Here is a 27,519-nt window from a genome sequence, read left to right on the forward strand (position 1 = left end):
TAAAAACAGTTTGGGGGGAACTTTGGAGGAAAAAGAAAACAGCTGAAGTAGGCTGACTGCATTTCATTACTGGTTCAAATTAGAGGGTGGAGGAGGTGAGCTAGGAAATAAACAGATGCAATGAAAGGTCTCCAGCCTGTGGGCAAGGAGGAGTGAAAACAGCCCTTTATGAAAGTCAAGACACCTGAAGCCATGGATGTCAGTGGTACACAATGGCCAGTGTTTGCAGGAGAGATGGCTTCTTAACCACAGCAGGGTTACCTTTCCCCTCCCCAGGATCTGGATTTAAACAGATGATATTTACTCAAGGGGTCTTTCATTGATAGAAAAATATAAACCCACCATTTATACATATCTCTGCTTAATGCAAATAGCATATTTAAATTTAATTACTTGGAGCTTAAGGTGGTTTTTGTTCCCATTTCTTTCTCAATTCAATACCCCAGCTCTGATTTGCTTCTTATCAAAGGTTTGTGCATTTTAAAATGCTGTCAAGCATCAGAATTAAATGCTTCAGAGCACTAATGATATCCTTGTGATTAAGGGTTTCGCGTCTCTGAGATGCTAAGAGCTCTGGTGCTAATATTAATTGTTTTCTTCTACATTCCAGATGGAGAGAAGGATTCCTCCTCTCAAGCTAGGCAATACCTATGGCATCAAACATCACTTAGCAATATTTATACGTCCTTTTTCTTACTATCATCATTACAGTATTTTATAGTACAAGAGTTTATAAAGTGCTTTCACATACACATGATTTTGTTTGCGGTACATTCGACCAGCCAGGTCAACTCCTCTGCCATCTTTTAGGTAAAATCATTAAAATCCCCAACCACCCTCGCTGGACTCATCATCAAAGTAAAAAGTCAGCTCCACCCCCAACAGCTTTTAGTTGCTACATCATGCATCCACACAAGCACAGTTTCTCATAGTCAAAAAGTGAAACTTTTTAAAACAAACCGGCAAAAGGTACAGAAAAACAACTTGATTATTCTGAAATTGACATTGATTTTTCTCCTTATTTGACACAAAAACATAGAACCAAATTCTCAGCCAAAATCTTCAGAAGACTGTGAATTAAATGAAGTTCATTTATATTTAGATATGTAAGTATTCATATTTATTAAGCTTAAATTTAGAATGTATGAGAGATGCATTTTTTTTTTCCATAAAGTGATTTCCAAGGTCAGACCAGAGTCTATTTTAAACACATACTATAAAATAAAGCAGTGCACAGCCACATTATCCTTCAGCAATATTTACTGAAGGATACAATTGACTCATGCTGCCAATGATTTTAAGAGTCTGATTTTGGAACACTATAAATACTTGAACTAAATGATTCCAGAGTAAGACTTTGCAAAGTCTGTGATTTGGTTTTTACTTTTGGTTTAATAGAAGACGAAAATTTTATAAGCCTTTTTTATTTCCCAGATAGATGGGAGGGCACGTCATTTTCTTTATGCCAGAGAGATGGGCAACGGATTATTTTCAACAAATCCTTTACAGAGAGCTATTGGTTAAATTTTAAATGATAGAATGTGATGCTATTCTTAGCCTTCACGTTAATTGTTTGCATAGGGAAGTTGAAGGTGTTGGGTTGGCCTCTTTGGCTAAGGCATCCAAAACTGTGAGATCCCTTCCCTTCTAGATAGAGCTGCCCAGCCAAAGACTACCTTCCTAGATTCCTTTGTATCTACGGTAGTTCATGTGACTGAGTTTTGGGTAATGGAATGTGGGTTGAAGTGATTTCCCCTCTTCTAGATCTGGCCCATAAATAGCTCCCTGTGACTCTCCATTTTCTTGAACCCACAAGCCAGAGGGAGGTTAATGACCCAGGCCCATCTTGGAAGCCCCACACCCAACAACCCCCATCACCACCAACTGGATGCGATTTCAGCAAGAAAATAAATTTCTATTGCAATAACCCATTGAACTGGCATTTGGGGTTAAAACAGGTACTCATTCAAGTGAAGTGGAGCCTTCTGGCAAAAAAGAGGTATTTGCATATCACAACTAACTCAGATAAACTGTAGAAGTACTGTGGCCCACAGAAGATTGGTCTGTGGTTTTGCAGCTTCCTGAAAGGCCTTTGGGTTCCCTCCCGGAAACTCCAGCTGGTCATGCACGATGAGCAGATATCCACCCATTTGTGAGAAACTGGAATGCGCTGCCCTGAGGTCAGCAAAGCCAGTGACAGAGGCCGCGTGGCTTCCCACGGACAAAATCACGGCCACAATCACGGCCACTAGTCTTCTAACAGTGAATGAAATCGGCAGAATCGCAAAACACTGAGCCAAAAGATTCAGCTGATCTTATGCTAATGCTAAATGGGAAAACACATTGGGGTTCTCAAAATGGTTTGGTTGAGTTTTCTTTGTAGAAAAGAGTTAATTTAGTTTTCACTGAATTATTAACTGCTTAAGCAGATGAAAACTGAGGCCCTGTGAATTGCCACAAAACAAAGAATGGGGAAAGGAGCAAATCAGATGCCAGTAAACTCCTGGGCAAGGCACTTGCACATACACGCACACCTGACATCATTTCATCCCTATAACTCTCTGAAGTAGTTATAATGATCACCCTTACATTTCAGACTTGGAAACTCAGGTACAAAGAAATTAAATAATTTGACCAAAGCCATAAAATGAGATTTAAAACTCAAGTCCACCTGGCTCAAAAGTATGTGATCCTCCCTCTATGCCACATGTCTGTAACAACATACACACGAAACTAGCATTTATTGAGTAATTATGATGTGCTGAGCATTGTTCTAAATCTCTTGCAGGACTTAATTCATGTAAACCTCACAAAAACTCTATGAGACAGGTACTATTATTATCCTCATTTTTATAGATCAAGAAGATAAGGTACAGAGAGTTTGAATAACTTGCTCCAAGTTATAGCTTATATGTGGTCATAATTCAAAAATCTGGTCCTAGAGCCCTCATTCTCAACCACTGATCTACAGAAAGCGGCTGATCTCTGCCCCTCCTTTCCATGGTAAGAAATAGGAGACTTGAAGGTTTAAGTGACTGTTTTCCCACAGCAGTAGCGGCAGCAGCAACAACGTAAATCTTTCTAAAGTCTGCTCTGTTAGGTACAGGGGTATCTGTGTACATTGTCGGCTGTCAGAAACCCAGGGGTAAGTTCGATATGATCCCTGCTCACAGACAAACCTTAAAACTTTTGGTGCAGAATGAACTCACATTTGAACTAATCTAAAGAGCTAAGACAAGAATAAAACAAAACAAATTCAATTACCAAATAAAATAATTAGTCTTTGGAATTAGAGAAGGGGTAAGGATACAAGACAAGCCTCTGGAAGACTGGCAATGTTCTATTGTTCTGTTCCTTGGCCTGGGTGACGGTCACATAGGTGTTTACTTTGCTATAATTCAATGACTATACATTCGAATCTTGCCCACTTTTCCATACGTGTATATTTCACAATAAAAAGGTTATAAAACAAACACAAATGTTAGGAGTATTAAAAAGGAAGTATCATACTTATTACTAGAAAGATCCAAACACAATATTTAGTATACCTCCTGGGTTAAGCCCTAAAGATGTCATGAAAGATGTAAGGTTTTGCAAATTAGAGCTTTTGCAACTTTTTAATCATTATACTGAAACATACAGCAATCCTTACTCTTTGTAGTAAATAAAATGCATTACTTTAATGTCTGTTTTACAAGTTAGCTAGTATCTTGAATTAGCATTATTACAGGTACAGTCATAGGATCGGTTATAAAATTATAAGTGGGTAACAGCTCAACTGGAAACCAAGGCCCATGTCCACCAGAATTAGCAGGGAACTAACCTCAGGGGCACCCAAGTGTCTTTGCTGCAGTTCAAGTGTGTCCTGTGTTTCGTCTGGGAGCTGCTTGTTTTACTTTCTACTTGCTTACTAAGAAATTTGTTGGCAGGTTCTGACAAGGATAGCTCAACACTTGCCAACAGAAACATGGCAGGATTCAATGTGTGTGTTTCCTGTTATAAGTAAGAATGCCAGTTTGAGGCAAACAGGAAAACAAGTCTTTCCACTGGAAGGCAGTTTAGAAGAATTTGCCTGAGCAAGATGATTGTTTTAAGGTAAGAAAATGGGGTGAAACTAGCAACAACAACAAAAAATAAATATACATTTTTTTCTCTGAATGCTTCTAGTGAGATGAATCTTCTCACTGGGCCTAAAAGTAGTGTTGACAGTTATCTAGTGTTTCCACTCTTAGTTGAAATTATTTTATGTGTAACTTGGTTAGACAGGATGGTGAACCTTCACCAAATGGGGGTCTCCATGACCTACAATGCCCTCCAATCACTTCCTAGGGAAGATCAGAGGAAAAAAAAAAGGCCCCCCAAAATTATTTTTTAAACAAATAACCAACAAAAAAAATGCTCTCCAAAATTAATTTGGAATATGGAGAACAATGTAAGGAAAAGGTTCATTTTTACTGAGCAGAATACAGAAAAGAGAAAGGAAAGGATTAGCTGCTATGCATCAAGGCTTCTATTCCTTTTGCTGTTAACTCCACCAGGGAGCTTCAAGCATTCCAAATCTGGAAAATAAAAAGCTAAGCTTGTAGGCTTCAGGTTCTCTTTGTTACTCAGACAGCTGCTAATCGTCCTGCTGTGTTAGGAACCCATGAGACAATGCTGTAACATTTAGCTTTCTGACGTCCAAAGCATCTAGATCAGTCCCCAATTAAACAGGTATTAATCACAAAGACTCTAAAAGCCAGGGTGATAGATGCACCCAGTAAATCTTTGCTGTTGCCTTTACTTTTCACACTCAGATTTCTACATTTACAGGCAGAAATACTTAAAAGCCTGCTCCAGAAACTTGACCAATCAAAAGCCTTGTTCATTACTTTATATCAGATGCTTGATGATTTCCTACCTCTGAAAAGCCTTTCAGAAAGAGGTAAGACATTGATCATTCCGCTAAAAGAGCCTGTCTGCTTCAATAAATAGATCCACTATGGTTGTTGTCATCTTGACTTTTTAAGTGTGATAACTAATTCAGAAGTGTTGTGGCTTTGCCACTTGCTATAGGGAAATCCAAATCATCTGTGAAGTTAAAGAAAAAGTCAGTGGATGAACCCAGAAAACATCAATGGGCAAAACATTAATATACTAGTAATACTAACGATCTCTTCCAACAGGGGCCAAATCATCTTCAGGTCATGAACCTGATTAGAGTGAATGAATGAAGTGAGGTATATTAATCCAGATAATAGAAAAGAGTATGTGTTGGATGAATCCTTCTGAATTCCATGTTTTGAAATTTATGTTGATAAAAGGTACTCAGTGTTACATTTTCATCAATTTCCATTTCACAAGGGCATGAAGATAGCCTTATTTAACTCTGTCAAAGAGTATCATTTACAGCTTTTGTTATAAACAAGTGACTAGGTAATCAACCTCCAAACACACAAACAAATGAAAAGTAATAATTTTCATAGCCAATATCTAATCACTATAATACACAATGAAGAGAAAAGCACCAACACGAGAGGCTCATATGACCTCAGAGGAAACCAACATTAGCTATTCTGAGTTATTAGAAATCCTTTTAAATTAGATTTCTATTTTTTATTTCTCAAACTAACAGAACCCATGAGACAAGTACAATATTTGCAAGGTGCCAGCTCAAGGGGCTGAATTCCTTGGCTTTCAATGGAGCCTGAATATATTATAAATTACTCCGTCTTCATCACTATCTCAGTGATGGTCCACTGTCTTCCAAGTTGAAAGAGTTGGGAGTCAATAAACGTCACTTATGATATGAGCACCTGTCGACTAAGACCTGGACTGAGACCAATTCCATTAACATAGTCATTCTACGGCTGCCAAATGGCCGGGCCTTGGACCACTTATGATATAGTCCCCATTCAAGGAGGTGACCTAAAGACAGAAAGGTCCAGAATCCCATTAGTCATCTTCCAAGCCATCCAATTCTCCATCAGATATACTGTTGGAATGGGATACCTAGTTTTTTAATCGTCATTTAAAAAGATCACGTGAGCTGCTCCAAAACATGTCATGGTGACCATAAATTGAAGATAGATGCTCTTTAGCATTGTTACCAGCCACTGTCCTTTAGATCTATGAAATTATTTTTTAGCAACTTCTATTTCTTTCTCTTGTTGCACTTAAAACACACAGGCAGAACAGAGGAAAAAATGACACATATTGACAAAGTATAAATTATAGCATGAAATCATAGGCTACCAATGATTCCTGACAAGGCCAGAGAGTCAGAGGAAACATGGTGGTAAAAATTCAGTTGTAAATCAATGTGTTCTGTGCTATTTGGAATTTTTCCAAGTCCAAGTGTTGCTTGGCTTAAAGCACAATGTCTAAGGACTGAGAAGTGATGATCACGGACAGTATAAACTAGAATGTTACAAATAGGGGAGAGAGACAGAGAGAGAAAGGGCGGGGGGGAGAGAGAGAGAGAGAGAGAGAAACAGGAAGAAGGCCATTGGGGTGAAGTTCTGAGACTCCTCATGTTTCTTATTGCCAGTTTGGTTCTACTGGATGGAAGTCTAGGGAAGTTCCAAACACAGGGGATCAAAATATTCTGAGGACAATATTCATGACCCATAGAATGCTGAGAAGGTGGGTTTTAGTATCACTTTAGGGAACCTCTGCTTTTCCCTAAAGTATCACTTTAGGGAACCTCTGCTTTTCCCTAAAGTATCACTTTAGGGAACCTGCTTTTCCCTAAAGTATCACTTTAGGGAACCTTTTTTATAAAGAAGAAATCTTTCCTGCCCTGTTTCTTGCTTGCTATGTAGACAAGTGTAAGGAAGCACCTGGTGAGTGGAAAGAAGTGGGATAGAGACCTTTGGGTTAAATTACAGTCAGAACATTTTGAGAATGCATCTTACACAAATGGTCACCACATGCTACGCTCTCTGAAAATGTGGCCATGCAATTATGTTCTTGCAGACCTCATATTTGAAAATCTGTCTTTTTGACAATTTTCTCAAAAGCTATGGTACAGGTTAGGAACAGGATAATCATTTAGGAGAAGAGGTTTTAAGCTTGGAAATCTGTAACCCTAGAATTGTATTTTTATTTTATTTTTTATTTTTAGAGTATCAGCTAGAAACTAAGTTCTATGTGCTAGATAGTTTAAATTTCTATAGGCATTATAAGAATGGGGCAGAAACAACTGAGCTATTAAATTTTAAAATGTTATTAAGGTCAGTAGATATCTTCAACTGGATCTGTGTTTGAGAATTGAGAATTGAGATGACTTTTGTAGTCATAAGAAATAATAAAGAATGTATTACGAAAGCTATTACTGTTTTAGGACTTGTTTTTTGTTTTTGTTTTTATTTTTTTAAAAAAAGGAAGAAAGAAAGAAAACCAGGGGGTTCACAGCATGTCACAGGGGCCTCTCTCATGAACTCAATTTGCTGAAGTGTGAAATTCAGCATAACTGGCTCCACCCAAAGAAGTCAGTATTTAGTCCATTCCTAAATACTGGAGGAGTTTATTAGAATTGCATCTTACCTAGAAATAGTTCCACAGCATGATATCTAAGAAAGACACTGGAGGAAAGCTCCTGCACACTATGGAGGAAGTTATTGGAAGTTAATGGAAATTATTTTTGTGTTTTCTGAAATAGGTAGAGGAAAAAGAAGTGGAGGGAAAGAGAAAATGCTACCCTCCAACAAACACGTACAGTTAAGGTGAATCCTTGAAGAGTTTACAGTGAGATAGAAAGGGCTCTCATTGATATTTCTCCCCAAACAATACATCTTTACATAATATAAGGGTTTCTTAAATATATTACCAGCCCCTTGGAGCCGCACCTGAATTAGTTGACTGTTCTGTATTGGAGTGTACAATGAAGGCTGTAAACACAGTGTATGCTTCTTAAATTTTCTGTCCACTGTTCATGGCTACAAAAGGATACTTTCAGAGGGGGTAAGGCTCTGCTAGTTGTTCTCCTTGCTTCTAATATAAAACAAAACAATAAGAACCTTTATCACAAACCTTAATAATAACCCTACTCCTACTGTAAATGGAGAGAAATGAGATGATGTTAGCTCCAAGGATTTCCAAGTCTCCTAAGAAGTTTCCTAAAACCACACCCTCCTGGGAACCCTATAGGATTGGGATTAGATTCATTGGGTTTCAACATGAGCCTCATCAATAATTTTCAGATAAAATAAAAGTCTTTGGTTATCTTATTTCTTTATCTTTAGATAAAAAGAAGTCTTTAATTACACTTGAGAGTATAGAGAACACTTGATCAAGCTTTCTGCTGGTTACATATTAAAAATCCCTGGCTTGTTTATATGTGTGGTCCTAGCTTTGAAAAAGAAACATGAACGAAACTGTGCTCCTATTTAACTTCAGGTTTATGCTCAAAATACGCACTTATTTTACAAAAAAAAAAAAAAAAAAATTAGGGTTGATTCAAGAGGCAGATTTCCAGCTTGCAGTATGTTATCTAGAAAAACACAAATTCTCCAGGGAGCCGTTGTAAGCTACCCCCTTTTCAGTGTTTGTGCTAATGGATGGATCTTACCCAAGCTTGGAACACACTGTGAGTCTATTGGTGGCAGGTCACTATTTAGCACCCACTGAGAAGTTGAAGCTACATATTTAAGTCTTGTTTGTATGCACATGTCACAGACAAAAGGTTCCTAGACAAGAATTTTTAAAAAACTTATCTGTCCCACAGCCTTTATTAAAAGGATTTTTTTGAAAGTGATAAACAAACTGCCTGAAAAAATTGTGTACTGGAAGATATGAATCAAAAAGGGATGGACCATAGTTCTTTATCTTTTCTCCCCTTGCCCCTCCCAAGAGTAACAGCAAGAATAGAATAGTAATAGAAAAAATATTTCGTGTCTCTATAATTTTACACATAAAGTATTTTAGATAGATTTCAGGGAGTGGTCCCTGTACTTTTTCATAACAAAACAAAACCCAAAAGATGGTCAGAGGAGAACCACAGTACAGTTCGTTTAGATCAGGCCTACCAATTTGTCAGAATAGAGAAAGAAGAAATGGAATCTAAGAGTGATTTCTTCAACTCTGTGTCTATATAGGCGGACATTTTGATGACCATTCAGCCAGATTCCCACAGTGCTCTGGGTGCCAGCCCTCACCTATGGAACCAATCATTAGTGACATTTCCCAATGAGGAAGCCAAGGGGTTCACTAGGCAAGCGACCACACTGACTGGCACCATCTCTCGTTTTTATCATTGCCGTTTCAGGGGAGCCTGGGGAACCTCTTTCATTTCTAATTTTGGCAGAAGCAAAGAATGAGAAAGCATGAGTACAGGTTGTGGGGGTGGCGGGTGGAAAGGTGGACACCAGAAGAAGGTTCATTAAATAAGAGAGATATTTTTAATACTGACAGATAGACCAAAGGTTTGCTTATCTTGACAGATTAACATGTAAACCCTAAAAAACATCCTCACCAGTCTTTACCTGAAGAAAATATACAGGATACCCTCTTATTGTATACCCACATCACAAAAATGCCACAGGGATGTTGAGACTCAGAAGAATTCTCTATGTATTTGAGTGACATGGACAGGCATTTCAATTAGTCCCTGTAGATTTAAGATCTCTTAATGCAAGATAAGTCCTGTGCATGGCTTTTGGGTTTTCAAGGTGTTTAAAGGAAAAAAAAAAAAAAAAAAAAAACTATTTAAAGACATCAGCAGGGGGTTAATGGAAGCTTTGATAAAGTTTCTCTGGATCTTTTCATTGATGTTCAATTGCAGACTGGTTTCTGGAGACCCATCTGGCTCCTCTGGGGAGACAGTAATTAATTGAGCCAGTTGGAGTGACAACTAGATAATTTAGAAGCCCATTGGAAACCCTTGCTAGCCCTGCCCTGCCCATTTCTCATCTCAGCCAGGCACTTATTTTTTAAATCTCTTGATGGCTTCTCCAGAGGGTGTAAAAGTTGGTGGTTAGTGTTCGATGGAACAAGCACAACACTGAGAGATGAGAAACAAACCAGAATTAGGCTGTCAAGTGATTACTGGTGAATGAATTTCTCTTCTTACAAATGAACATGCATATATCTTTCTGTAGGAGCAAAAGGAAAGGACTCAGGAAAAATAGTGTTCTCAGTCCTGGGTGTATAAATAAAGACTTCATTTTCTTAGAGTGGAATATTCACATCTTTTTTAAAAAAATGCAATCTAACTTTTGCTTATATGCAATAATTACCACTACGTTCTATAGACATACTATTTGTCTGTGCTATTCAGTCAACCTTGAAAAGTTGGATAATTTAGTAGGCTCTTTTGGCAGGCTTTTATTTTTTTTTCTCCTCACCAGGACTTGTGGCACCCACCCCGAATACAAATTCACAGACACTGGTGCCACACACAAGAGGCTGCGCCATTGTATATCTGCTGGTTTATTTTATTTTTAATTACGATCATAATTAGTGAGTATGCTTATTAATTATAGTGGTAGCAACAGTATTCTGGAAATGAAATTCTTCTCAGTATAAGGTTAGAATCAAGAGACTGTTTCTTAAAAAAAAAAAAAAAAGTACCGCATGTTGTTTTTAAATGTGCATTTCATAGGCCTTATGAAGTAAACCAGGATCCCATGGCTAGACCAGAGCTATTAATGAGAAAACCACAGCCTGGCTCCTCTGAAGCTCATTGTGTGCTTGCTTGGGCCTATAATTACCAGGCACAGAAAGGACTCTCCAACCAGCTACCGATTCCCTACTAACAACTGAGGATGCGCAAACAACGTTTCAGCAAAATCTCTCAGTGGAATTGCTTTGTTGTCTGTTTGAAGGATTTTAAAATGAATCTCTAGAAGGAGTTCTTCATTTTCTCGATTTCACTAGTACCATCATTTGTTTTTCCTTTAAATTTCTTAGGGGTAAGGAAAAATAACACGATTTACTGGAGATCAAAGGCAAGCATGACATCATCTCGGAGAGAAGATAAGGCACAGGAGCAGAGCATAGAATTATTATTATTTTGAGATCGAGTCTCACTCTGTCATCCAGGCTAGAATGCAGTGGCAAGATCTTGGCTCACTGCAGCCTCCACCTCCTGGGTTCAAGCAATTCTCGTGTGCCTCAGTCTCCTGAGTAGCTGGGATTACAGGCGTGCACCACAACACCCGTCTAATTTTGGTATTTTTAGTAGAGATGGGTTTTTGCCATGTTGGGTAGGCTGGTCTTGAACTCTTGGGCTCAAGTGATCCACTCGCCCTAGCCTCCCAAAGTACTGGGATTACAGGCGTGAGCCGCTGCACCAGGCTAACATAGAATTATTTAAAAAGAAAATTGCTGTCAGCAACTATAGGACCTAGGCAATAGTGTGAAGAATGCATACTTTAAAGAGAACCAGAATATCAGTGAAGCATGTCTCACATAATCCATTTAAATCTGAGTGCCAATGGGAAAAAATTTGTGGTTCAAGAAAGCAAAGTTATGACTGAAATCCTAATTATTTTAGTTAATTTTTTTTCTGAGTCAAAACCTTTACAAAATAAGGTGTCTTGAAGATTGTTTCAAATGTGAGATTTACCTAAATGTTACCCATCACATCCTTTGCCAAAACAATATTCCACAAATGATACCAGTATTTCAATAGCTTCTCAACCTTGTTCTTACTGGTCTCCTTTCTTGATTTAGTACTCCAGAGCAGATCAGCAAACATTTTGTGTCAGCAGTGAGATAGTGCCCATGTTCGCTTTGCCGGACATTTGCCCTCTGTTGCAGCTACTCAACTATGCCATTGTCACGTGAAAACACTCTTACACAATATATAAACACATGAGTGGGAATTTGTTCCAGTAAAACTTTATTTATGAATGCCAATACTTGAATTTTATATAATTTCCAAATGTCACAAAATATTATTCTGTTTTTTATTATGTTGAACCCATTAGAAATATAAAAGCCAATATTCGTGGGTTGTCCCAATCTGGAGGATTCGATTTGGCCCTTGGGCCATAGCTTGCTGACCCCTGCTTTAGGGCACTAAAGGAAGCAAACATTTGTGTCTTAAAAATATCATCATTTGGCCAGGTGAGGTGGCTCACACCTGTAATCCCAGAACTTTGGGAGGCTGAAGCAGATGGATGCACTTGAGGCCAGGTATTTGAGACCAGCCTGGGCAACATGGAAAACCCCATCTCTACTAAAAAATAGAAAACTTAGCTGGATGTGGTGGCGCCCGCCTGTAATCCCAGCTACTCAGGAAGCTGAGGCATGAGAATCGCTGGAACCTGGGAGGCAGTGGTTGCATGAACCGAGATCACATCATCTCATTTAGGTTTAGTATTCCAAAACAATTCTCAGAATCAGCAGGAATGTGCTTTCTGCTTGTCCCTTTGATCTCAGACCACAACTCAGGTCCACTCCAGAGGTGCCCCTCATACCTAACTGTGGGCCAGAACCACTCACTGTCACAACCTGTCTTTCAACACCTTCATTTCAGGCCAAACTGGACTTCCCAACATCTCATCTTTCTCCCTTGTCCTTTCTGTTTTTAGGGATGATTATGCAATAGTCTTGTTGTCTGACAATTGCATTTATCTCAACATAGTCAGAGGCAGATTTTTATTTACCGAAGCTAAAGAAGTTTGTATGGACCCTTTCTGAAGCTCTGTTACTAGTCTGACATTTGTAATTTTGTAGGGTTTTATGTTTTCACCCTTAATCACACAATAGTTGTTTAAGCTTTAAACTCCACAAAGTCTGGCTCTGCCATGCCTACAGCATATTACCTAAATTGATTGCTGTAAGATTTTCCCCTTTCTCCCACCATTTTCTTGAAGCTTTCCTCTTACTATCTAGAAGACAGGTAGCAATTATACCCAGTGGGGATGAGAATTCCCACTGTTCTCCATTATCCCACTCAAATAACATAATATGTCTAATTAAAAGATGGCAGAGAGAGAAAGAATGGGAACTTACCAGTTGAATAATAAAAGACAGTGTGCCTCTTACACTTAGTTATTTCTTTTCTTTATTCATTATTTTGGTTTTATTAAATTTATCATTACTTGACAAAGAGAGTTAACTGATTTGATTTTACTGTAAATAAATGTTAATCAACAAACAGATGGAACTGTACAATGACTACATGTGGCACAGTGGCATTATAATGAGGTGTAATGCCACTTTATTTTATTATTATTATTATTATTATTATTATTTTGCAGTTAATGCTTAATTGTCCAACCCTAGAGAACAAGGTCAGCCTAACAAGCAGCGCCCGTTCATCTGATGGCAAAACAGCTACAACAGGATTCATGAGGGGCCTTGAAAGGCCCTTTACAACTGCCTGTTCTCTGAGAACAGTAACGGGAGCATCATGCTTTCAGCATGGGGCAATGGAGCCAGAGAAATGTGGAATCTTCCCTATGTGTTCAGCCACAGGCCAGCTCAAGCAAAGGCCACATGGCTATGGAACCCTGAAATGGTGGGCACTGCTATGAAGTCTGTTCTTAAAAACTATTGCTAGAACAGAGTTTTTCAGCCTTAGCCCTATGGACATTTTGGACCAGAAAATTCTTCATTGCGGAGGATTGGGGATGCTGTGTTGTGAATTATAAGATGTTTATCAGCCTGCCTGGCTTCTACCCACTAGATGCAACTGCACCAAAAATTGCCTCTAAACATTGCCCATTAGGGGTAGGAGCAGAAATCACCCCCAATTTAGAACAACTGTTCACTATCTTACTGTTTTCCCCCCGCAACGTAAATCCCTTGGCAAGGCAAGGAATTAGAGAGAAGGAGGGCAGGCAGAATTCAGGTGATAATTCTGCTGAAGCATTTGGAGAATGTTTTCCCACTCTTAGAATTGCATTGAGAGACCATTTCTAAACATGTTAGAAGAATAAGCCTTACTTCTTCAGGTTCATAGCCCACAGCTCAGGGTTACATACTTAGAATCATAGAATTTTGAAACGGAAAAGATCTTAGAGATTAGCTGGTTTAAATAATTACGTAATGCATCAAATATTTTAACTCCTCCAAACTAAGCATGCTACAGATGTTTGTTTGTCACTAGGACACCATAGCTGTGCTAGAGAGAGATGACCAGATCTTTCCATTATGAAGTATCTAGAATAGCATCACATGCAAAGTAAAAATAAAAAATGGACAACACCGGCCCTGGGTGCAATTTGGGGTGAGGAGGGAACACCATTCATGGGGGTTGGGACCATAATGATTTAAAACGCCAGAATATGGTCCAGCCTCACAGCTAGAAAACCAAGCAAAGGCGATGGGAGATGAACGGCAAAAAACCGTTCAGAGATATTAAGCTACTGCTGGCTGCCATCACAGCCTTTTTAACAAAAAAAAAATATTCACAGGTCTGTTGCTTGGCCAGAAAACCTTGTTTCATTTATACAGTATTTCTCCCTCCTAGTGACACATCCTGTATTCATTTGCCTGAGATGGTCCACTTAAGTGAAAGTAAACCAAAGGAAAGCCATCCAGAAAACAAATCACCCAGCAGTTTGCTTATCCATTTTTCATAAACATCAGGACTACCTGCTTCTAAACAAAAGACAAAACAGTCGCTACAGGATGAAAGATGAAGGAAACTGGAATCTCATTTTCCTCCTTTTGGCCTGTAATGTAGAAAAGTAACTATTGGGGGAGCTCCAAGAGCTTCCTCTTCTCCAATTTTACTGGGTACGACTTCAGCTGGAAAAGTAACACCCCCACCCTTACTCTTTTCCCACCTCTTCCCTTCATTGTTTCTGGCATGGGGGTGAGGCTGGGAGTGACTCATCTCATTAGAGAATTTGGGAAAAGTACTCTGTCCTCAGCTCCACCCACTCTCAGACCTGTCTATCTGCCTATCTGCCTATCTGCCTACCTGTCTGCCTGCACAGAGTGTCCTTCCAACAACCTTAGCAGGGCAGGCGGAGAGGCTGCAGGTAGCCAGCTGGGCTGCAAGTGTCACTGAAGCAAGCCCTTTTGGCCACAGATATAAAGCTCACATCCTTCCATCAGCTTATCAGCAAAAAGCTGACAGACATTCAGATTTCCTTTGTCTTCTGTGTCAACTGGTTTTCAACCCAGAAGGGGAGCAAAAGGGTGTTTATTAACCCCCTAAGACCCCAGGAGTAAGATTTGGGTTAGGATTGTTTAAATAACCTTGTGAGAACACAGGCCCATTCACACCACATTCTACAATTAAATGATCAAAGCCCAGTTCAATCTCCATGTCCATGCCCAGATACTCACATAATCTGGTCTCATAAATGGGGAGAATGCCAAGCTGAATACATGAATGCCATTCATTATCTCCTAATTTTAAAGGAAAGCAACTTTCTACTTTCAGGAGTAGGATTCTCCCTGCTTTTTAGTACTGGCTCTGACATTAGCATGGGTGAGTCACCTCACCTTCATGGAGCTGCTCCTCAACTCTTAAAGTCTCAAAGGTGGTGAACATAGGACCCAAGAATTCTAGCAGGTTTTGCGTGATTGATTTGATTTATCATTTCTAACATATTACTGATGAGAGAAAGAACCCTGTGAAAACAGAGCAAAGATGGAGAACCACTAACTTTTGTAGCCTCCAGGTGCTAAATGCTAACGTTCATTAATTCTATGTATTCCTTATAGAGTGAGACACCATTGCCTATAGTGGTCCTCAAGGAATTTAATTTAATGAAATGATAGGAGCAATTGCAATTAGAACATAATTGTGTGTATGTAAATATGCTTAGGGGAGCTTCGATAGAGTTTACGGTTGCTACATTCACCCGAATTTTGGCCTACATTATTAATTTGCACTACTATGAAGAAAGGGTTTGTTAATCAAAGATAAACTATCCTGATGACTTGAATTAGAGAACTTCAAATTATGATAGGATAATGAAGCAGTGCTCTGCACATATACAATTCTCTACTAAGTGAAAGCTTTCTGGCTGGCCACATAGGAGGTCTCCTTATTGAAAGATTTATTTTTAATTTTGAACAGCTTCCCAGCATTACCCTTCATGAAAATTAAAATAAGGAGCTGGAATTTTGTCCTGTTCAGCAAACCTCCTTGGCAGGACTACATGCCATGGCAAAGAAAACCTTATTGTGTCAGAGTAATTCTCTGTCTGCTTTTCTCCTAAATCTAGAAGAATTATACCTACATTTAAAATAAAACTTCATCCCACCCCACCCCACCCCACCCCCGGAAATGTTTTTGCATTTTCTTCTTTTGGAGGATTTTAGTGTGTCTTCTTTGTGCTCTCTGGACCTTTTGCCCCAGTAGGTGTTGACATAACTTCTTGGCTCAAATCCCTACGTGTACAGGGGGTCATAGAAGTCTCCCCCAAAATCTGTGGGAGCCAAGCCTGTCCTCAGCGCATCTCCCACAGGCTTTTCTCTGCCAAGGAGAATGACTTCACCTTTTACAGATGAGGCTCCAAAAGTCCATCCCTACTTATAATTCGGTTAAGAAAATGATGTAGTGCTTGCGAATGAATAGCCAAAAAGGTAGAAGGGGGCTGCATGTAAGAATACTGATTGGATCATCAACCAGATTCTCCAGATGGTGCAGAAATCGTTCTGCATTGCATCAGCTCCTAATTCAGAGAGACCAGCAGCACCGATGCGTGTTCCCAGGATCTGTATGTAATATTTCCATTGCATTCTTCCAAAAGAGAACTAATAAACTGTTGGCAATCACAGAGTACTCATGTTTCTATCAAAAACTCCTAAATCATACTAGTCTTTGTAGAAAAATAAAACTAATGACTGCGAACAGTGTTCACAACCTAAAAATTCAGAATTAAAAGACAAAGGCCTAGCTGGATGACCCGTTCACATTAGATATTTTAAAAGACTGTTCACATTTGCAGAGCTGAAGATACATTCCGGTAAGACTTGCCATTCTAGCCCCTGCTCAAAACCTTCCCCAAGTCTTAACTTTTTATTTATTCCAAAGAGTTCAGGGCAAAATGGAAAAATAATGGCTTTGGATTGGGACACTGGAATAGTTTTCACTTATAGGATCAATTAGTACAGATATTTTACTAAACTATTGAGTGCACTTACTGAAACATTCATTTAAAAGAAAAGTGCAGTTAGAGGCGATAGGATTGTTGGCAATTTATAATCCTTTTCTGGCTATGTTTTCTATCCCAAGAGCCTCACAAAGAATAAGCCACTCTAACTCTGTTTCCCTTCTCCTCTCTAACTCTCCAGAAATAAAAAAGCCGGCAATGTAAAACTCCTGGAGGGGTGGTAACTTTTTCAGGGAAGGAGTACAGATGAGTAAGTCAGAAGCGAAAGCCTAGAAACCTAGATTTTCAAAATATTTGATATTCAAGATTTCATGACAGTTCTGCGATTAACTCAGTAGAAACACTTCATGAACAGGAAATGTTTTCTAGTCATCTGTATTAGCAGAAAGTGATGTAGGAATTGGAGGAGACTGGCCGCCCCACCCTCCGCCCCACCCTCCCAGCCCCCACGTCAATCAAGAAATCAACTATAAAAGTAGCTGCAATCACGCCTGTAATCCCAGCCCTTTGGGAGGCCAAGGTGGGCGGATCACGAGGTCAGGAGTTCGAGACCAGCCTGGTCAATATGGTGAAACCCCATTTCTACTAAAAATACAAATAAAAATTAGCCAGGTATGGTGGCACCCGCCTGTAGTCCCAGCTACTCGGGAGGCTGAGGCAGAAGAATTGGTTGAACTCCAGAGATGGAGGTTGCAGTGAGCCGAGATCACGCCACTGCATTCCAGCTTGGGCGACAGAGTGAAACTCTGTCTCAAAAAGAAAAAAAGAAAAAAGTAGCTGCAAAACTATTAAGTGTCTTAAAGTAAACTTCGTTAACTATAGACACAAAGATGTACATGGAGGTTCTAGTATAGGTCCACCTAGATCATTTATAATATTTTACATTAAAGCATAAGATCAAAACTATTGCTGCTAATGCTTTTGTTAGAAAATATAACAAATACCAAAAGAGCACTCTGCATTGGTAAAAATCAATTTTATAATTGTACATAATCTATAAGTGCTCTGATGTCCAGCCATGGACATCATAATTCAAATGACTGAGATGAATCCCATCCAGCATGGAGTGACTCAGCTCACTGCAACCTCTGACTGCTGGGCTCAAGCAATCCTCCCACCTGAGCCTCCTGAGTAGCTGGGACTACAGGTTTGTACCACCATGCCTAGCTAATTTTTGTATTTTTTTTGTAGAGATGGGGTGTCATCGTGTTGCCCAGTCTGGTCTTGATCAAACTCTCAGGCTCAAGTGATCCACCTGCCCTGGCCTCCCAAAGTGCTGGGATTACACGTGTAAGCCACCGTGCCCAGCCCCTAAGTATCTTTTACATTATAACGCAGCTCCCAGGCTTGATTGATTCTATTTCAATTATAGCAATTTATTATAATTCATTATTTTAAGCCTTTTCTCTGTATACATTCAGATCATACAATAAAGTAGATTCAATTCCTACCTGCTTGGTTGGTGGTCACAGTGACAGAAACTGATTGGTCTGGGTTAGGGTTATATTTGGACACTCCATTCACAGCCCAGATTTCAAAGGTGTAATTGGTATGAGCTAGGAGGTCAGTGATGGAGACTTTGGTGGTCTTCAAGCCATTCTGCTGTGGGGTGTAGTGGACCCCACTTCCACAGGGTCGGCACTTGCTGGGGTCACCAGCTCCACATTTCTTGCATACCACATTATAGGAAATGTCCTGGCGGCCACCTGTATTCTGAGGGCTACTCCATTCCAAGTTCACAGATGTCTCGTTGACATTTGAAATCAAGTTCAGGGGAGCAGATGGTGGACCTGGAGAAAGAAAACCACATCATCACACCAAGAACCGAAATACCCTTTTGGAATCTCTCAGAGTTTGTATTATTTTCTGCAGCTCTCCAAAGCAAGGCAAACCCACTTGGCAAAGAAAGCAAAAAGCAAATCAAGCCAGCATAAAAGATCTTTTAAAAGAACAATATAATAGAAGGCTGTTACGTGAGTGTCATTCTCTTTCCCACGCAAACAAACAAGGCATCGGTTGTCACTTTGAGATGTGAAGCAACTCTCCAGCAAATGGGCTCCAAGCCCAGGCTTTCCCTATGAAGTGGCAGAAAAATATCATAATTTATCTGTTCCATCTTATCATCTAAAAAAATGAAAGTGATTCTAGTTCCCAGGGCCGTTGTGAGACTCTGATAAATTAATAGTTATATACCACTTCTGAAGGTAAATTATAATTCCTAAGTACAGCATGTCATCAATAGCAAATAAAATTAACAGAACTGTAGAAATGTGCCTCTGCAGTTCAACATGGCAGCGGAGGGTTAAGCTGTTTATGGGTAATTAGTACGAACTGGTTTAACGCGGTTGCAGAGATGTTGAAGATACAGCTGTGGCGAGATGGCAGGGGTTTTGTTCAAGGCTCCCAGACCCCTCCTCCTGCCCTTTAACTCGTGCATTCCCAGCAACATCAAAGAGTTTCTGAAATATGGGTGATGGCAGTGGTTGTTATGAAACAGAACAACTGATTACCGACAACATACTGGTTGGTTAAAAAATAATATTAATAATAAAAAATAAGACTATAGATCATGATGAAACTCTTGTTTCTTGATGTAGATTTGTGTGTGTGTGTGTGTGTGTGTGTGTGTGTGTGTGATGGAGTCTCGCTCTGTCACCCAGGCTGGAGTGCAGTGGTGTGATCTCAGCTCACTGCAACTTTCACCTCCCAGGTTCAAGCGATTATCATGCCTCAGCCTCCCAAGTAGCTGAAAATACAGGTGTGTGCCACCACACCTGCTATCTTTGGCGGAGTTTGGCCATGTTGGCCAGGCCAGTCTTGAACTCCTGATTTCAAGTGATCGGCCTACCTTGGCCTCCCAAAGTGCTGGGATTACAGGTGTGAGCCACCATGCCCGGCCATGATTGGTCTTAATAGGGCAAAAAAATTGTGACACAAACTGCTTTCAAGTGGAAGAATCAGGCTGGGAGAAGGGAGAGGGAATTTTCTTGGTCTGAACCAGTTCCAAAGGCTTAAAAGGTAGCTGCCACACTCAAACGAGACATAGCTACTCAGTTTGACAGTTGGAAAGCTATTTCTTTCCCATTTCAGTCTTCCAAGAGATGAGCAAAATGAGTTTTAAGAAAAATTTGAGGTTTCTAGATCACTGTTATCTATACTACTTCTAATGTAATTGAGATGGCTACTTTGCAGGAAATTAGTACAAGTTTCTCAGGAAAAGAAAGTTAACAGGAGGCTTGCATGAACTTGGATGAGCTTTACCTAGTCTACCACAATGAAACATACTGTTCAAAATGGCTGTCGAGATAGAATTGGAAGAGGTAACCTATAAATAAGAAATCATATTCAATATTTATTACATAGCTTGCAGTGATTAATGGCCAATTATTTTTTAGTGGTAACATTTAATAAGGGTAATTCACTCTCCTTTTCTCTTTATCCCACTTATTGAAGACTTTATTTTAACAAGGTAAGCAGGACTTCCCAAACTCCCCTCAGGACTAATTACCAACAACCTCTTTAAGCATTAAGATCAGCTCCCCATCCTGTGAAACTTAGAAAAATGCAAACCTTTAAAACATTTCACAAAAGTATTGTAAAATTTGTATTAAAGGGAAGATTACTTCACATAAGTCCTCAGAGAGAAAATACAAATTTCTTTCTTGTTTAGATTTCAAAACTGCATTTACAGTTTTTAGCATGGTAACTGGAATATAATGACAAATGAATGCTTTTTGAATAAATGAAGTACATAAAATCACCGACTCTAAGAGCTACATAGGATGTTAAAATCATTTGGACAAATACCCTTATTTTAAAGACGAGGAAGCTGAGATCTGGAAAGTAAATCTAATAATACTGAAAGTTCATGCAATCTAATTAGTGACAGAATTTGACTGAAATCCAAAAGTACTATCTGCCATTTGGAGTTATTTTTATTCCACCATGTGTTCCTCACTAAAGGTATAATGATAACAAAAGGAAAAATTTCAGCCAGTTTGAGAAGGCAAACATGGAGGTGGCAGTGAGCTATCTTCAGCCCTGTTTTAATTCTGTAATGCTTGCCACCATAGTGAAATCCATTACTAGTCTGCAGCTGAAGCTGACCAGGGCTTGGTTTATCAAATGGGTCAGTCATTGGTTCTTCTTTTGCTGTGACTTCCAGGGTTAAATAAGAGTGACTCTGAAATCCATTAACCTCCTTGCCAAGGTTCCTGGTCCACTTTCACATGGGAAAATGTGACACAATGAATCAAGCACCACAGAAGCAAAAAGTCAGTAATTAGTATGTAGGACGGGGCACGGCAGTGTCTAAACAGAGAAGAAATGGAGCAGAAAACTAAATGGTTTCAGGACTCAGAGATATAGCACTTCCACGTGGAAAAAAAAATGACAAAGATGCTGCAGGATTTCAAAATGGAGGGCTGGCACGAAAACACGTGCTAAGCTAGGGCAGCCTTCTTCCTGTGGGCAGCGATTCTGAAGGAAGGCTCTGGGTTGGATGCTCAAGACTGAGAATTAGGCAAATTCAAGTTCAGTGCTGGTAAATCGTACTGCGTATGTTTTATGCTTTGCTATCATAGAGAGTGACAGCTTTGTGGGGACACTGTCGCTGCCTCGAAATTGGAGTATAACGAAGTCATATGATAGAGGGGAAAACAAAGTATAGAAAATCCATCCAATATGACTATGATGTTGGTCTGGAAAAAAACCTGGGAGAGGACACACGCTTTACAAATTAAAATCATAATGTGGTATGCTGTGCTTGTGGGATTGTGGTTTCTTTTTTTTTGTTTCCCTGCCAATTAAAAGATTACAAATATATAAGTGTGTTTCTCATTTAAAGGGAGGGCCCATCTCCTCTTTAGGAGGAGGAGAATAAAAGTATTCTATTCTCAAGACATTGAGAAACAAATATGGGCTTGAATATAGCCAAAAGCCAATCTGGGCCTGTAGTTAATACCGAACTGCAGCATCTTGGTAAACAATTACCTACAGAGATGGCTAAAAAGAAGAGAAAACTGGTATTCTGAGTAATCTGAGCTCTCTTTTAATAAATACAAGGCATCCAGAAGTAAAAAACCTAACTCCGATTATTTTCTCTTTCATTTATGTAAGTATTGTGTCTGGCTATTTAGAAGCAATTAAATTTCTGACAGAGTGATTGCCTTTGTCATCAGAAATATGTCCACCTGCGAGTAAGTCTCCAATTACAAATATGAGGTTTATAACAAAAAAGGGCTAACTGTTGTACTTGTTCTAATTTTCTAGTCTCCACATCTGAATCGACCTACTGAGTACATACACCCATCGGGTAGCTTGAGGGTCATTGTGAATGGCAAGATTTTGTTTTCAAAACTACCCACTACTAGCCTCAATACAGGACTGGCATAACACCAGTCCTTATGCTTATGTCATTGTTTGACATTTCAGTTCCTTATTTCCTTTCCTGCTTTGTTTGTAACATATAATGGTGTCTTGCTACTTAGACACCATTCCATGTCTGTTTCTATCACCAGTATATGTGCTCCTCAAGAATTGATGTCTTGGCCGGGCACAGTGGCTCACGCCTATAATCCCAGCACTTTGGGAGGCCAAAGTGGATCACCTGAGGTCAGGAGTTTAAGACCAGCCTGGCCAATATGGTGAAACCCCCGTCTCTACTAAAAATACATAAAAAAAAATTAGCCAGGTGTGCTGGCACACGTCTGTAGTCCCAGCTACTTGGGAGGCTGAGGCAGGAGAATCTCTTGAACCTGGGAGGCGGAGGTTGCAGTGAGCTGAGATCGCGCCATTGCACTCCAGCCTGGGTAACAGAGTGAGACTCTGTCTCAAAATAATAATAATAATAATAATAATAATAATAATAATAATAATTGATGTCTTTATCACTTCCTGTTTTCTACCATGGTTCCTCGTTCAGAAATTTCAAAAAATGTTTGATAAGTCAATGAATGAATGAATTAAAAACTAATGAAGTCCTTTAATGCATCTTATACCCAGTGTTATGAAGTGTGTGAACTATGCAGCCTTCTCCGAGCCAAAGCTGTACTAGTCAACTTTTCACATACAGATTCATTAGCTTTATACCTGTGAAGTAGTAACTCAGTGTAACTAGTTTGTTTCAATTGCCTCTTTTTTTCATGGTTTAGAATTACTTTGGAAAAAGTAGAAAGGGCTATATATAAAATATTAGTGGTTACTTCTGCTGGGAGAGATTGTGAATCATTCATTTATTCAAAAAACATTTATGGTGTATCTAGTGTTTATCACCTGCTTTAGAGGAGAGAGGAAAAATATTCTTATTCATTTTGATAACTTCCTGATAGTTGCCTAGATAGTTGCAGGAATGGATAGGGAACCTAGGGAAAAAGGCAGAGACTCAAGGAAACTAAATAGGGATTATATGTGCAGTGGATGTCAGAGCAAGCACCTGCCTTGTCCTGTTTTTACAGCTGTGTAACCAGCGACGGCTGGGAATTTGAAATGTGGGTTCTATCAAATAAGGTTTTATCAAATTGGGATTGGTTATTACACTTTTCTTCCTCCACCTTGATTTCAGGAGGTGATTTACTCAGACATGAAAGCTTTATCTCTGGGGAAAACTTTATCTCTGAAGAAGCTTAATTTTAACATTTCTAAAGGTAGACAGGTATTTTCCATATTAGTCTTTATGGAACAACAGCTTTTGCCTTTAATTTTAATTTTTTCACCCAAATCAAGACATTCTAAAATATTAGATTGGTACAAAAGTAATGGTGGTTTTTGTCATTACTTTTAATGGCAACTACTTTTGTACCAACCTCATATAAATTAATCAAATGCTGAGGTGTATTTAAGGGAACATAAACACCCTTCCTTCACGTTTTTGGTTGTATTTGTAAATTTCCCATGAAATTCACATATAAGCCCAGGATTCTCTCTGTGCCTGCACCCAAAAATGAAAATAGCATGTTCAACTATTTTAAAGTTTTCATATTTAGTATGCCCTTTACATTTGTAATATAACTTAGTGGCCCAGATATTAATGGTAATCCCAGAAATAGAAGTCAAATGCAATAATCTTTAGTTTATAAATCTTTTGCACAGGGGCCGGCATAATTTCTCTGTAAAGAAATTTTATGATCTGGCCAGAAAATAAATATTTTAGGCTTTATGGGCCATCTGCTCCCTGCAGCAACTACTCAACTCTGTAATTCTATCTCCAAAGAAGCCATAGACAATACCTTAACAAATGATCATGGCTGTGCTCCAAGAAAACTTATTTGCAAAAATAGGTGGCCGTTAAAATTGACCTTCAGACCATTTCGTGCTATTGAAAATATGATGAAAGCAAGGCATCTTCTTTTTAGGAAGATGCTCTCTGGCACCCTCAGAATTCTGCATGTAATTCCAGGAACTAAAAAGCCTATCTAAAAAGCTCAGTCCAGGAACCCCTGATTAACCTATGTATATAGCCCAGGTGACAACTCTGGCTGCTAAAGTCCAAGTTAGACCTACCTTTATTGACTAAGGAGGGAATAAAATGAGACATATGGCTTATTTCTTGAGTTTCTCATTGCTCTGAAAGAAACGGGCACTGAATTTCTTGCCATTATAGATACATTTAATGAACATCCATTCACTTCACTGGTGTGAAATACTTTCTGCATCACACAGCAAGTACCAGAGAAAGGTGCTACAATGGGTAATTATTATTTTCTAGTGGGATGTCACCTCACATTCAGTTGACAGGAGTTTGACAGCATTAAGCCCCAAAGAAACTATAGCCACATGATAGTAGATACAAAGGGCTATCATATCATATTATAAAATATCACATCATATCATGTTGTATTATAAAAGGAATCTTGATCTTCCTTTACCAACCATGTGCTCTTCTCTGGGGAAAAAAACAAGCTTCTGGAAATGAACCACATACTGTCAATGTGACATTTAAGAACGGCAATATTCCAAGCATAAAAGAAAATTCCAGTAATTCCACATATCTTAATTCTTTCCTCCCATGGATTAGACTAAAATTTAATTCTTGAGTAGTTTAGAGAACACAGTTGCTGGCTTATGTCAAGATTTAAAGTAGCCCCTTTAGGACAAGCCAGTATTTACATATCCACATGAAATCTGTGTGAGCCTTAATAATGTCATTTAAAAGCCGTCAGCCAACACTAAACCTAAAGTCAGAAATGTCTCCAGTGTGTCTATAAGTTTGGTATAAACCATTCCATGGAAAGTCCAGGTACCCTATGTACTCTACCTCACACCCAAAGTCAGAGAAAATGCATTTCTTTATTCTTACAGGAAGCAACTGAAACTTCAGTAAAAGATGAAAACCTGCTATGATAATTGCGTTTTGAAATGGGTTTGGCAGAAATGGGTTCTGCCAAAGGGCTTAAATATATGTGGATATACGGTGTAACGTGCCATATAAACCTAAAAGTTCTATTTCTCGTAACGACTGGAATTAAAGTGCCAACAGAATGCAAAACTGTGGAAAAAAGTAAGTCAACTTTAAAACTCACATTGTTAGCAAAATTTTGCACATGCAACTCAAAATACCTTGGAGCTGGTAGTTCTGCTTGGAATTCTCACTCCCGGCCCTTTGACTGACTGACTTCTTATCCCTGGAATAGTTCTCATTCCTGACTACTCCATACAAACTGAAATCCTCCCTTTCCCTGTCCCAATGCACCCAATTGCATCACATTTTTAAAAATTTCCTTCTTAGGAGAACCTTCAATTATCTTATTCATTTGTTTGTTTATATTCCCATTAGAACATAAGCTCCAGGAGAAAAGGAATCTTCTCTTTTTCAGGTTTATGAGAATATCTACAGCCTTCAGAGTAATGCCTGACATCTGGTAGAAACTCAATAAATATCTGCTAAATGAACAAATGAATGAATGATGATGCTTTAGCCCAGTCCAGCTCACTAATCAGAAGCATCACTACCATAGCACTATGGCTGAGCACAGTGGCTCATGACTGTAATCCCAGAACTTTGGGAGGCCATGGTAGGTGGAAGGCTTGACAAGCCTAAGAGTTCAAGATCAGCCTGGGAAACATGGTGAAACCCTGTCCCTGCAAAAATTATAAAAATTAGCCAGGTGTAGTGGCATGTTCCTGTAGTCCCAGCTACTTGGGAAGCTGAGGTGGGAGGATTGCTTGAACCTGGCAGGTGGAGGTTGCAATAAGCTGGGATCATGCCACTGTACTCTAGCCTGAGTGATGAATTGAGACCCTGTCTCAAAAAAAAAAAAAAAAACCCACTGCCATAGCACTTTTGTATGTCACAAAAGCTAAGCAAAATAATAATAATAATAATAAAGAGAGAAAAAATGGCAATCACATGCTAAAATGTAAAAAAAAAAAAAGAAAAGAAAGAAAGAAAATCAAGTCTGCAACCAAGGCAAGAAGACAGTTGATAGAAAAACCAAAGTCTCTGGTCTCATGTGATAGAGTAGTTTCCAGAGCTATCACAGACATCTAATACTTAACTGATTTTTAATCGCCATTTTAAAATTCAATGCCTGGGCTATGAAATTCATTCTGGATGGGAAATGGAGCATCCCCCAAGAGCATGGGCAGAAAGGTAACTCTCCCATGATCGATGTATTTAAGCACTGCTGTCACCTCACTAAAATGCTAAGGCAACCAGTCCAACACATATCTTGGAGGAAGCAGCACCTTGGGTCTGTAGTTCCATTTCCTAAGGCTTCATTAATCATGTACAACTTTTGGACTGTCAATAGCACTTCAGCGTCTTAGCTGTAAAACCCTTCAACCCTTCAGATAAGCCTTTGTTGTTAATCTCTCTCCAGCTGAAAGACAGGTTATAAGGAAGAGTCAACAGTTGGGATGCATTACGTTTTGACTCTGAAATAAAGCCCATGCTTCCCCTGACATTTGTATATGTTGCCACCACTAATTGCTTTCTCCCAGTCCTATCTGCTGTGGGTTAGTTTACATAAAGATGGCTGTTTTAAAGACATCCCTCCTGACATATATGAACAGTGCATAACCTCTTATCATGGTGGTTTATGTGTTTTTACAACAAAGACAGCCAAGCAGGGCTGTCCATGATTAAACCAGAACCTTTTGGATGCATCAATCACTTGCTGCTGTCATGAAAAATTCTTGGCTTCCTATAGAGGTTCATTTCTTGTTGTGAGACTTTCCCATAACCTATTTTTCTGGTTCTATCTCCTTTCCCATTCTCCTCTCCAGTGATCTTTGTCTTTTTTTTACTGGGTTAATTAGGGGTTTGGTTTCTTTTTATTAGGATGACTTGTTTATGGCTGAAGTGCCTTATAAATTCTCAGTTATACACAAGAAAGCTACCACGCCAAAGACCAAGAAAAGTAGAATTGAGTATTTCATTTTTAAAATTATCTAGCCTGTGCATTAATTTACTTTCCTTGCAAAGCACTTTTTTGTATCTTATTTAACAGCTGCAATCAAATCTGACAGAAAAGTATTTATTGTTCACAACAATCTGATCGCCAAAAACTAA

General features: G+C 39.1%; 1 protein-coding gene across 4 annotated transcripts in view, besides 2 other annotated features; it reads right to left on the reverse strand.

Annotated features, from left to right (window-relative positions):
* EPHA4 (EPH receptor A4) overlaps positions 1–27,519 on the reverse strand; it is a 156,176-nt gene that overhangs the window by 45,865 nt on the left and 82,792 nt on the right. For all 4 annotated transcript variants that reach the window (NM_001304536.2, NM_001304537.2, NM_004438.5 and 1 more), the window contains one exon: positions 18,461–18,799. In NM_001304536.2, coding sequence (NP_001291465.1) covers positions 18,461–18,799 — 339 coding nt within the window. The remainder of the gene's footprint in view (positions 1–18,460; positions 18,800–27,519) is intronic.
* Positions 4,136–4,742: an enhancer, noted in NCBI's record as "OCT4-NANOG hESC enhancer chr2:222332747-222333353 (GRCh37/hg19 assembly coordinates)". NCBI's record gives its function as "activates a minimal SCP1, AML or CMV promoter by ChIP-STARR-seq in naive H9 embryonic stem cells {active_cell/tissue: H9 hESC(naive)}" and the evidence as "EXISTENCE:reporter gene assay evidence [ECO:0000049][PMID:30033119]".
* Positions 4,743–5,348: an enhancer, noted in NCBI's record as "OCT4-NANOG hESC enhancer chr2:222333354-222333959 (GRCh37/hg19 assembly coordinates)". NCBI's record gives its function as "activates a minimal SCP1, AML or CMV promoter by ChIP-STARR-seq in naive H9 embryonic stem cells {active_cell/tissue: H9 hESC(naive)}" and the evidence as "EXISTENCE:reporter gene assay evidence [ECO:0000049][PMID:30033119]".

This window comes from Homo sapiens, chromosome 2 (assembly GCF_000001405.40).
Source record: "Homo sapiens chromosome 2, GRCh38.p14 Primary Assembly".
In the NCBI taxonomy this organism is placed as follows: Eukaryota; Metazoa; Chordata; class Mammalia; order Primates; family Hominidae; genus Homo; species Homo sapiens.